Raw genomic sequence first — 13,223 nt, forward strand, 5'->3', positions numbered from 1 at the left:
GGCATAATAAGATATGGATAACACAAAATTTACCTTCTAACCATTTTTGTTTTTGTTTTTGAGATATAGTTTCACTCTGTCGCCCAGGCTGGAGTGCAGTGGCGCAATCTTGGCTCACCACAACCTTCACCTCCTGCATTCAAGTGATTCTCGTGCCTCAGCCTCACCAGTAGCTGGGACTACAGGCACACATCACCACGCCCAGCTAATTTTTGTATTATTAGTAGAGACAGGGTTTCACCACGTTGGCCAGGCTGGTTTCAAACTCCTGACCTCAAGTGATCTGCCCACCTCGGCCTCCCAAAGTGCTGGGATTATGGGCATGAGCCATCGCACTCAGCCCTAACCATTTAAAAAAGTAGTTGGGTGACATTAAGTACCTTCTCTTTGTACAACCATCATGGATATCCATCTTTAAACTTTTTTTATCCTATGGAATTGGATCTCTGTATTCCATTAAATAATAACTGCCCATTTTTACCTCCCCCAGCCCGTGGCAGCCATTGTTCTACTTCCTGTCCCTATAAATTTGACTACTCTAGGAACCTCATATAAGTGGACTAATACAATATTTGTCTTTTTTTTGTGACTGCCTTATTTCACTTAACATGTCTTCCATGTTGTAGCATGTGTCAGAATTTCCTTCTCTTGTCCGGGCACGGTGGCTCATGCCTGTAATCCTAGCACTTTGGGAGACCGAGGCAGGTGGATCACCTGAGGTCAGGAGTTCGAGACCAGCCTGGCCAACACGGTGAAGCCCCATCTCTACTAAAAGTACCAAAAATAGCCAGGCATGGTGACGGGCACCTATAATCCCAGCTACTTGGGAGGCTGAGGCAGGAGAATCACTTGAACTTGGAGGGTGGAGGTTGCAGTGAGCCAAGATTGTGCTACTTCACCCCAGCCTGGGCAAAAGAACAGCACTCTGTCTCAGAAAAAAAAAAAAAGAATTTCTTTTTAAGGCTGAATAATATTCCATTGTATGTATAGGCCACATTTTATTTCTCTGTTCATTCATCGATGGACATTTGAGTTTCTTCTGCCTGTTAGCTATTGTGAATAATGCTGCTGTGAACAAAGATATACAAACATCTCTTCAAGGCCTTGCTTTCAGCTTTTGTGTATATACCTAGAAGTGGAATTGTGGAACTGCCGAATCATATGGTAATTCCCTTTTTAATGTTTTGAGGAACCACCATATTGTTTTTCGCAGTGGCTATACCATTTTACATCCCCACCAACCATGTACAAGGATTCCAGTTTCCCTATATCCTTGCCAACACTTGGTATTTTCTGTTTCTTTGATAGTAGCCATCTTAATGGGTGGGAGTTCCACTCTTTTGTTTTATTTCCTCTCATACTTTGTTCTTTAATTTCTTTAGTTAGGTTTACTGGGATATATTTTATATACAGTAAAATTTACCTTTTTTAGTATACAGTTCTTTAAGTTTTGACAAATGCATACTAGTGTAGAATACCACAGTCAATATATGGAATGGCTTCATAACCCCCCTAAGTTCCCTCAAGCCACCTCTTTGTAGTTAACTCCTCTTCCCACTCCCAGCCCTGGCAACAAACTGATGTGTGTTTTCAGTCTTTATAGCTTTGCCTTTTCCAAAACACCATATAGGTGGAATCATACGGTATGCAGCCCTTTGAATCTGTATTTCTTTCACTTAAGATTTGCACATGTTGGGTATGTCAATAATTTGGGTTTTTTTCATTGTTAGGTAGTATTTCATTCTATAAATATGCCACAGTTTGTATGTGTAATCATTAAAGGACATCTGGGCTAGTTTCTGGTTTTCAGTGATTATGAATAAAGTTACTAAATACATTTGTGTACAGGTTTTTGTGGGAATACAAGTTTTTATTTCACTTGGATACATACTTAGGAGTGGGATTACTGGATCATATGGTAATTATATGTTTAACTTTAAAAGATACTGCCAGAATTTTCCAAAGTGGCTGTACCATTTTATATTTCCACCAGCAATATATTCAAGGTCTAGCTGACTCACATTCTTGGCAGTATTTGGTACTGTTAGATTTTTATTTGTTTGTTTTGTTTTTAGCCACTCTAGTAGGTATGTCATCATATCTTATAGTAGTGTTAGTTTGCATTTCCCTAATGACGAATAATGTTGAACATATTTTCATGTATTTATTTGCCATCTGTCTTTTTTGATGAAGTTTTTGTTCAAGTCTTTTGCCCATTTTTAGGTTGTTTCTTTTAAATATAATTGTGTTGAGTGTTCTTCACTAATTCAGGATCTCTTTATCAGATATATGACTTGCCAGTATTTTCCACTAGCCTGTGGTTTATCTTTTCGTTTTCTTAACTATCTATTTAAGAACAGATTCTTAATTTTGATGAAGTCCAATCACTTTAATCACTTTTTTTTTTTTTTTTTTGAGATGGAGTCTTGCTCTGTCACCCAGGCTGGAGTGCAGTGGCGCTCTCTTGGCTCACTGCCAGCTCCATCTCCTGGGTTCATGCCATTCTCCTGCCTCAGCCTCCTGAGTAGCTGGGATTACAGGCGCCCACCACCACACCCAGCTAATTTTTTGTATTTTTAGTAGAGACGGGGTTTCACCATGTTAGCCAGGATGGTCTCGATTTCCTGACCTCGTGATCCACCTGCCTTGGCCTCCCAAAGTGCTGGGATTACAGGCATGAGCCACCACACCTGGCCACTATCACTTTTTTTAAATGGGCTATGCTTTTGGTGTCATATCTAAGAAATATTTGCCTAACCTGAAGTCACAGAGGCTTATGCCTATATTTTCTTTTAAACATTTTATAGTTTTAGTTTTTTAAATTTAGATATTTGATCTATTTTTTAGTTAACTTGTATATAGTCTAAGGTGTGGATTAAGGTTCTTCTTTTGCTTATAGATATCCAATTATTCCAACAGGATTTTGTTTTGTTTTGTTCAGAGACAGAGTCTCTCTCTGTTGCCCAGGGTAGAGTGCAGTGTTGCACTCTTAGCTCACTGCATCCTCCGCCTCCTGGGTTCAAGTAATTCTCCTGCCTCAGCCTCCCAAGTAGCTGGGATTACAGATGTGTGCCAACACAGCTGGCTAATTTTTATATTTTTAGTAGAGACAGAGCTTCACCATGTTACCCGGCTGGTCTCGAACTCCTGACCTCAAGTGATCTGCCTGCCTCAGCCTCCCATCGTGTGAGCCACCATGCCCAGCCCCAACATGATTTTTTTGAAAAGACTACCTCTCTCCTTTGAATTTTAAAATCAACTTACTGATTTCTACATAAAATCCTACTAGGATTTTGATTCACCTTTGGATTCATTGTTCTGAGTCATTCCTTCCTTTTTCTGTGCATTTGCAGTTGAGTTTTTTTCTCAATCTGCTTCCTGCCTGTAGAATTTTGGGATGCAAAGGCCTCTTTTTACTTTTTAAGATTTTTTAAAAATTTGAAATGATTATAGAGTCAAAGATGTTGCAAAAATAGAAAGGTCCTGTGTACCTTTCTCCCAGTTTCCTCCAGAGGTAACACTGGACAAAGCTAGTACAATATCAAAAGCATAAAATGGGCAGTAGTACAATATACAAACCGTGTTCAGATTGTACCAGTTTTACATGCACTCATTTGTGTGTTTCATCACCATAAGGATCTCTCTTGTGCCATCTATACCTCCCTCCTCCATTCAGTACCTAATCCCTGGAAACCACTAATTTGTTTTTTGTTTTTTTGTTTTTGTTTTTGTTTTTGAGATGGAGTCTCTCTCTGTTGCCCAGGCTGGAGTGCAGTGGCACAATCTCGGTTCACTGCAACCTCCGCCTCCCAGGTTCAAGTGATTCTCCTGCCTCAGCCCCCTGAGTAGTGGGGACTACAGGCGTGTGCCACCATGCCTGGCTAATCTTTTGTATTTTTAGTGGAGGTGGGGTTTCACCATGTTAGCCAGGATGGTCTTGATCTCCCAACCTCAGGTGATCCACCCGCCTCAGCCTCCCAAAGTGCTGGGATTACAGGTGTGAGCCACCGTGCCCAGCCTGAAACCACTAATTTATTATCTACTCTATAATTGTTGTCATTTCAAGAATAGTATATGAATAAAAGCAAGTGAAGGTATTAAAAATGTTGTATGAGTGGAATCATACAGTGTGTGACCTTTTGAAGTTGGCTTTTTTCACTCAGCATAATGCTCTTGAGATCCAAGTTATTGCATGTATCAATAGTACTTTAAAAATCACAGAAAGTTTCAAAAAATATACATAGAGGTTTTGTGTACCCTTTGCTCATTTTCCTCCAATGGGTGGGAAAATCTTACATACCTTTGGTATAATATCAGAACCATGTATAAATTCAGGTAACCACCATCACAATCAAGTATAGAACTGTTCTGTTATCCCAAGGCTTCCTCATGCTATTCATAGCTACAGTCACCCCTCCTTCCTCTCACCCCAATCCCTAAAAGTCCCACTTCATCTCTATAATTTTGTCATTTTGAAAATATTATATACATGGAATGATATAGTATGTAACCTTTCAAGATTGGCTTTTGTACTGGCTTTTCCATATAATGCCCTTTATATCCACTTAAGTTGTATCAGTAGTTTTTCCCTTTTTTTGCTGAGTGCTATTACATATAACACAGTTTGGCCATTCACCCATTGAAGAATGTTTGTTTCCAATTTAGGGCTATTATGCAGGTTTTTGTCTCCACACATAATTTTCATTTCTCTGGAATAACCTTCAAGGAGTATGAATGCTGCCAAACAATTTTCCAGAACATCAGCAATGTTCATACATTGATAGACCTTCTCTGCATTTTGACTTGCTTTTAGAATGGTCACTATTTTATTTTAGCTGTTTTAATAGGTGTGTAATGATATCTTACCATAGTTTTAATTTACATTTCCCTAATGGCTATTGAAGTTTAATACATTTTAGGCCGGGTGCAGTGGTTCATGCCTATAATCCCAGCACTTTGGGAGGCTGAGGCGGGTGGATCACTTGAAGTCAGGAGTTCGAGACCAGCCTGGCCAACATGGTGAAACCCCCTCTCTACTAAAAATACAAAAATTAGCCGGGTGTGGTGGCATGCACCTGTAATCCCAGCTACTTGGGAGGCTGAGGGAGGAGAATTGCTTGAACCCAGGAGGTGGAGGTTGCAGGGAGCCAAGATCATGCCTCTGCACTCTAGCCTGGGCAACAGAGCAAGACTCTGTCTCAAAAACAAACAAACAAATGAACAAACATTTTAATATGCTTATCTGCCATCTCTGTATCCTCTTTGGTGAAATATCTGTTCACTTCCTTTGCCCATTTTCTAATTAGACTGTTTGGATGTTTGTTCTAGAAAAAGAGTCTTGCTCTGTCACCCAGGTTAGAGTGCAGTGGCATGATCATAGCTCACTGCAGCCTTGAAATCCTGGACCCAAGTGATCCTACCAAGTAGCTAGGACTACCGGCGCTTGCCACCATGCCCAGCTAATTTTTTTTCTTTCAAGACAGGGTCTTGCTGTGTTGCCCAGGCTGCTTTTGAATTCTCCTGGCCTCAAGCCATCTTCCCACCTCGGCTTCCAAAGCACTGGGCACAGGTGTGAGCCACTGTGCCCAACCTGTTTGTCTGTATTTTTACTTTTGAGTTTTGAAAGTTCTTTATATATTCTAGATATGAGTCCTGTGTAAGATGTGTGATTTGCAAGTATTTTCTTTCTAAATTTGTATGTCTTTTATTTCCTTTTCTTCCCTTATTGTACTAGCTAAGACTTCCAGCACTACATTGAATGAAAGTGGTGGGAACAGACATTCTTGCCTTATTTTTGATCTTGAGTGGATATATGACACATATAGTATATGTCACTAACAATGGAATACCAAAATATATGAGGCAAAAACTGGTAGAACTCCAAGGAGAAATAGACAAATCCCATTATAGTTGAAGACTTCAACGACCCTCTTTCAATAATTGATAAATCAAGTAGGCAGAAAATCAGTAAGTACATATTTTATCTGAATACCACCATCAATCAACTTGATCTACTGGCATTTATAGAGCACTCCATCCAACAATAATAGAATATACATTCTAATACAATAATAATAGAATACACATTCATATCTAGCTCACATGGAGTATTCAAGAGATAGTACATTCTGGGCCACGAAACACACTGGAACAAATGTAAAATGATAGACTCATAAAAAGTATGTTCTCAAACCACAATGGAATTAAACTAGAAACCCATAACAGAGAGAGCTGGAAAGTCCCCAAGGTATTTCTAGAATAAACAACACACTAGACTAGTAGGTAGCACATGGATCAAAAAAAAGTCTCAAGAGAAACTTAAAAATATTTTTAACTAAATTAAAATGAAAAATATAGTTTACCAAATTTGTGGGATGCAGCAAAAGCCATGCTTAGAGGAAAATTTATAGCATTAAATGCATATATTAGAGAAGAAGAAAGATCTAAAGTCAATCTAAGCTTCAGAAAGAAGAAACTAGAGAAATAAGAGCAATTTAAGCTTAAAGTAAGTAGAAGGAAATAATAAAAATCAAAGCAGAAATCAATGAAATTGAAAACCAGAAGATGATAGAGAAAATCAGTGAAACCAAAAGCTGTCTCTTTGAATTATCAATAAAATTAACAGATCTCTAGCCAGGTTAACCAATTTTTTTTAGAAAAAGAAAGATACAAATTACCAATATTAGAAATTTGTTTGTTTGTTTGTTTGTTTTTGAGATGGAGTCTCATTCTGTTGCCCAGGCTGGAGTGCAGTGGCGTGATCTTGGATCACTGCAACCTCCGCCTCCTGAGTTCAAGTGATTCTCCTGCCTCAGCCTCCCGAGTAGCTAGGATTACAGGCACATGCTACCACACCCGTCTAATTTTGTACTTTTAGTAGAGGCGGGGTTTCACCATTTTGGCCACGCTGGTCTCGAACACCTGACCTCAGGTGATCCACCCACCTTGGCCTCCTAAAGTATTGAGATTACAGGTGTGAGCCACTGCGTCCAGCCCACATGTATTATTTAGAAATGTGGTGGGATTTTTGGATTAATAGAAGTGTATTTAAGCAGGAATACATAAAATCGTCATTGCTAGACTTAATATGAGATGTTAAATGTTTGATCCAATTTTTCTTCCTGGATAAGCTTTTCTTTCCTATCCCTACCGGATCCGATTCCACATAGAGCTACTGGATGAGTATTTGATAATGGGTCTGAAATTGGGATAGACATGTGCTGATCTTACACAAGTCCAACAAATTAAGCCAAGATGTTTGATGAGCCCTCGATGAATCATCATTGGTTAGGGTCATTGTGCTGATTAAGTACCCCTGTTTAAACCCAGATTTATGGCCAAATGCTCAGGTTGCAGTTTGTGGAGGTATGTCATATTCAGCTGGATTGAGGGTCATGGGCAGAGGGGCCAGGTGTGATGGAGTATAGTTTGGGAGAGTCATCTTGGTGACCCAGTGCACAACTGCGCCTCTTGACTCATGTATTATTCAGAAATGAGGTGTTTAATTTCCATATGTTTGGAGATTTACCTATTATCTTTTTGTTATTGATTTCTAGTTTGATTTCATTGTGATCTCAGAACACATGCTGTGCGATTTTGATTTTCAAAAATTCCTTGAGGCCGGGAGCAGTGGTTCATGCCTGTAATCCCAAGTCTCTTGGATGCCACGGTAGGAGGATCACTTGAGGATAGGAGTTGAAGGCTGCAGTAAGCCATGATCGGCACCACTGCACTCCGGCCTGGGCAATAGAGCAAGATGCTGTCTCTTTAAAAAAATTTTTTTTAGTTGACTTTTATTCTGTGACTTAAGATATAGTCTTGGTGAGTGTTCCATAAGCATTTCAAAAGAATGTGAATCTTGTTATTGTTATGTGAAGTATTGTCTAAATATTAATTAGATTCTTTTGATTGATGGCTTTTTAAAGTTCTTATACATCCTTGCTGCTTTCCTGTCTAGTGTTTCTTTTTTTTTTTTTTTGAGACAGAGTCTTGCTCTGTCGTCCAGGGTGGAGTGCAGTGGCACAATCTCGGCTCACTGCAGCCTCCGCCTCCCGGGTTCAAGCAATTCTCCTGCCTTAGCCTCCCGAGTAGCTGGGATTACAGGCGCCCGCCACCACACCCGGCTAATTTTTATATTTAGTAGAGACAGGGTTTCACCATGTTGGCCAGGCTGGTCTTGAACTCCTGACCTTAGGTGATCCACCCGCCTTGGCCTCCCAAAATGTTGGGATTACAGGTGTGAGCCACCATGCCCACCCTTCTGTCTAGTATTTCTATCAAGTGTTGAGAGAGATGTGTTGAAGTCTCCAACTTTAATAGTAGATGTCTATTTTTTTTTTCAGTTCTACCAATTTTTGTTTCATAGATTTTTAAGATCTGTTGTTTGGTATGTACACATGTATGATTGCTATGTCTTCTTTGTGATTTGACCCATTTAATATCTTTTTTTGGCCCTGGTGATTTTCTTTGCTCAGCAGTCTATTTCATCTGATATTGAAATTGCTAACTCTGCTTTCTTTTAATTAATCTTTGTATGGTGTATCTTTTTTCATCCTTTTATGTTCAGTCTACCTATGTCATATTTGAAGTGAGTTTCTTGTAGAGAGCTTATTTTGGGTCATTTTTTTCACTCCGTTTTGCCAGTCTCAGAGTTATAAAGTATATTTATAGACTACCGGCAGTTAATGCAATTATTTGTTAGGGTTTAAGCCTGCCATTTGATTGTTTTCTTTTCATTCCCTCTGCTTTTCATTCTTCTCTTTTATTTCTCTACTCTTCCTATGGGTTAAACAGTTTTTAGAATTCCATTTTTTTTATCTATGGTGAAGTGTTTTTTTTAAGTGTATCTCTTTGTGTAGGTTTTTTAGTGGCTGCTTTCTATATTACATCATACATAACATAATCTATGACCATCTACTGGTATCGACACTTTTGCCACTTTGAGTGAGGGATAGAAGCCTGACCTCTATTTAGGTCCCTTTACCCTTCTCCTTTCATAATGTAATTGTCTTAAATATCTTCATTACATAAATTGAATCCACATCAGACCATGTTATATAATTTCTGTTTTAGCCATCAAACATAATTTAGAAAATGCAAGTGAAGAAGGATAGCCCATCATATTTACCCATATTTTTATTATTTCCATTGTTCTTTCTTCACTCCTGATGTTTCGGGTTTTCTTCTTTCATCATTTCCTTTATGTTTGGAGAACTTCCTTTAGCCATTCTTTCACGGTACAGCAGGTCCTCAAATAATGTTATTTTGTTTAACGTCATTTCTTTATAATGTTGATGAGAAAAAAAAACAACAACTGATTCCCAGCCATGGCCACTGTCTGTGTAGAGTTTGCACATTCTCGTCATGTCTGTGTGGGTTTTCTCTGGGCACTCCAATTTCCTCCCACATCCCAGAGATGTGCACATTAGGTTAATTGGTGTATCTAAATTATCTAAATTATCCAAGTATGAGTGAGGGGTGTGTGTGTGTGTGCGTGCACGCATTCTGTGATGGAATGGCATCCTTTCCAGGGTGCCTTGCACCCTGAGCTGCCAGAATAAGATTCAGCCACCCAGGACCCTGAAATGGAATAAGCAGGTTGGAAATGAAGAATAAGTGAATACAAATTATTGTAAAATAAAAATTTGTAAAGTATATAATAATCATACAAATGCATAACAGTAAATAATTTGGTATAAGAGCACTCAGCCAGCCTGCCATATTTATTATTGTTTTTGAACTGCATGGTGGTAGGAGATACTCCTTACAATTTTTGCTCTGCAAAGATTTATTCCTTGGTTTAACTCACCACCATGATGACTGCTGTCACTCACTGCTTATACTAATCCAGCATGACCTCACTTTAATTACATCACCAATAGGTGAGTAAATAATGAACTTCCCTGTTTTATTAATCTTTCTTAAATGTATGTATAGCTCACATTTATTTTAATGTTTAATACTAGATGTGTCTGGGCATTTATTTAGAAGCGTGGTATTGTTTTTGTGACCAGAAGTATGCTGTATGGACTTACCTTGTTAATATCAATTAGTCTACGATAAACTTGCTTTCATTATACATCATTTTGGTTAAAGTTGCAGTTTCCAAGAAACTATTGATGACATTAAGGACTTACTATAGTTCTTCAGTTAACAAATTATGTTAGTTTTTCCTTCATTTGAGAATGTCTTGACTTTCATACCTGAAGGATTTTTTCACTTTGCTTAGCATTCTGGGTTGACGGTTTTTTCTTTCAGTACTTAAACATATTGTGCCACTTCTTTCTGGCTTTCACAGTTTCTGATGAGAAATCTGCTGCAATTTAAATTGTTGCTGTATTATTGGTAAGGTTAATTTCTCTGCAACTGCTTTCAAGACTTTAGTTTTCAGAAATTTGTTTATGGTGTGTCTTGTATGGATTTCTTTGGTTTATCATGCTTGGGGTTTAGTCAGCTTCTTGAATCCGTGTGTGTATGTCTTTCATCAAATTTGGGACACTTTCAGCTTTATTTCTTTGAACACATTTTTAGCTCCACCTTTTTTTTTTCTCTTCACCTAGGACTCCCATGACACAAATGTTAAATCTTTTGTTATAATCTTCCATGTTCCTGAAGCTTTGTTCTCTCTCTCTCTCTCTCATCTCTAGATCACCTGATCCAGCAGGTGATCTGCCCACGTTGGCCTCCCAAAGTGCTGGGATTATAGGCATGAGCCATCCTGCCTGGCTGAAATCCTCTTTTTATTTGTACTCTTTTTATCCCTGCAAATCTAAGGTGATGTTTTTGGATATATAATCCTTTTTAAAACTTGTGGGTCACTTTGAATCTTATTCAATATTACTCTGTTAGACAAAAGACATGCCCACAGATTTCTTTGCAATAAGCCCTTCTCTACTCTAGGCTTCGGCTGAGATGGCTAAGAGACAACAATCAGCCGTAAGATTTCCAGAATCACTATTGTTTTGATTTGGAGGATCTGTGAGACATATCCATAATTTGTTTAGACTCTTTAAATATGACTGAATAGTATTCTGAGGCACTGCCTTAAGTCTTTCTGAGATGTTAACAAAATATTTTACATTAATATTCTTTTTTTTTTTTTTTTTTTTTTTTTTTTTTGAGACAGGGTCTTGCTCTGTCGCCCAGGCTGGAGTGCAGTGGTGCGATCTCGGCTCACTGCAACCTCCGCCTCCCAGTTTCAAGTGATTATCCTGCCTCCGCAGTAGCTGGAATTATAGGCATGTGCCACCACGCCCAGCTAATTTTTTGTATTTTTAGTAGAGATGGGCTTTTACCATGTTGGCCAGGCTGTACATTAATATTCTCAGTTTCATATTTGGACCAGGCTTTCCTGGCAGTGCCCTGTATTTGAGTTTTGCTAGGAAGCCATTTTTAAATTTTACTATCATCTGCTATTTGGAGAGGATAAGCATTTTCTAAATCATGAAGTCTTAGCTCTTTCATGTTTAACATTCTTTCCTTTTAAAAAGTTCAGCGTTTTTCAACTCGAGCCCTATTGATATTTCAGCTAGGATAATTATTTGATGTGTGTGTGTTTGGTGGGGGGATTGGGGTGGTTTGAGGGGGGCTGCCTTATACATTGTAGGATGTTTAACAGCATCCTTGGCCTCTGCCAACTAGATGGCAGTAGCAACCTCCCCAGCTTTGACATCTAAAAATGCCTCCAGACATTGCCAAATATCCCTTGGGAGGCAGTGTCACTCTCACTGGAGAGCTCTTGCTTTAGTTTATCCCTTTGCTCCTCCCTTTCACTATAGGCAGCAAGAAGAAAGCAGGTGGCGCCTTTAACATTTTGCTTGGAAATTGCTTTACTTAGATCATCAAATTCATTAGGCACATTTTCTGTTTTCCACTTTATTGAAGGCAACAGGGTTGCTAATTTTTGTGTCACAGTATAGTTTCCAATAATATTTACTTCACTTGTCTGGGTATGGTGGCTCATGCCTGTAATCCCAGCACTTTGGGAGGCCGAGGCAGGTGGATCACCTGAGGTCAGGAGTTCTGGACCAGTCTAAACAACATGGTGAAACCCCACCTCTACTAAAAAAAAGCCGGGTGTGATGGCATGCACCTGTAATCCCAGCTACTTGGGAGGCTGAGGCAGGAGAATCACCTGAACCTGGGAGGCAGAAGTTGCAGTGAGCTGAGATCAACAAGAGCAACACTCTGTCAAAAACAAAACAAAAAAACAACAAAAAAAACCCCAAAAAACAAAAAAACAGAAAAACAGTATTTACTTCACTTTCCTGCATACCCTCACTGCACCTTATCTAAGGGCCGAGGCTTCTTTAACAGCTTCTTCAAGGTGCTTTAGGTTTTTACTATACTCTTCTCAAAGTCCAATTCTAATGCCACTCCTGCATATTAGAGTACTGTTACAGCAGTACTTTACCCAGTACCAAAATCTTTCTTTTCCCCTTTAAAAATTTTTTTCTTTATATGTTCCAATGAACAGAATTTTAATATGTTACCTATTGCTGCATAATAAACTATCCCAGAATTTAGCATCTTAAAACAAGAAGTATTTACTATCTCAAAGTGCTTGAGTATCAGGAATCCAGGAGTGGTTTAACTGAGTGGTTCTGCCTAAGTTTCCCATGAGGTTTCAGTCAAACTGCTGGCCAGGGCTGTAATTATCCCAAGATTTTACTAGGGCAATTTTATCAATTTCCATACTCAATCATGTGGTTGCTGGCAGGCCTCAGCCTTCATGGGCTCTTGGCCGGAAGCTTCCTTTCCTTGCCATGCGGGCCTCTCTATAGTGGCTGTTGACAAAATGGCAGCTTGCTTCTCCCAGAGTGAGTGACCCCAAAAATAGAGTACACACTAAAGACAGAAGCTGTAGTCTTTTTTTTTTTAATTTGAATTTTAGAAGTGACATACCATCATTTCTGGCATATCCTGCGGGTCACATAGGTAAACTAATGGTGGCAGGAGGCAGACAGGTTCCTAGGTGGGAAGGGGTGGGTCCTTGGTGAAACCCCACCTTCAAGCCAGGGATGACCTGAAGCCTGACAGCCAGGCCTCCAGTTCTGTGTGGAGTCCACTACCTAAAGTGAGAACTTCCTTGATGCCTTTTGGCCAATCAGATGGTGCTTTTTCCTGACCCGGCCAGATTCATGGACTCGTTGGGACTACCTGCCTGCAGATAGGAGCTACCCACTTTGGGTCTCCTCTCCTCTGAGAGCTGTTTGGTCAGCCGA

General features: G+C 39.3%; 1 long non-coding RNA gene and 1 pseudogene across 1 annotated transcript in view; one reads left to right on the plus strand and one right to left on the minus strand.

Moving 5' to 3' along the window:
* SYS1-DBNDD2 (SYS1-DBNDD2 readthrough (NMD candidate)) overlaps positions 1-13,223 on the plus strand; it is a 47,442-nt gene that overhangs the window by 18,096 nt on the left and 16,123 nt on the right. The window lies entirely within an intron of this gene.
* NDUFB4P10 (NADH:ubiquinone oxidoreductase subunit B4 pseudogene 10) lies at positions 7,083-7,441 on the minus strand (annotated as a pseudogene).

Source organism: Homo sapiens, chromosome 20 (assembly GCF_000001405.40).
Source record: "Homo sapiens chromosome 20, GRCh38.p14 Primary Assembly".
Classification (NCBI taxonomy): domain Eukaryota; kingdom Metazoa; phylum Chordata; class Mammalia; order Primates; family Hominidae; genus Homo; species Homo sapiens.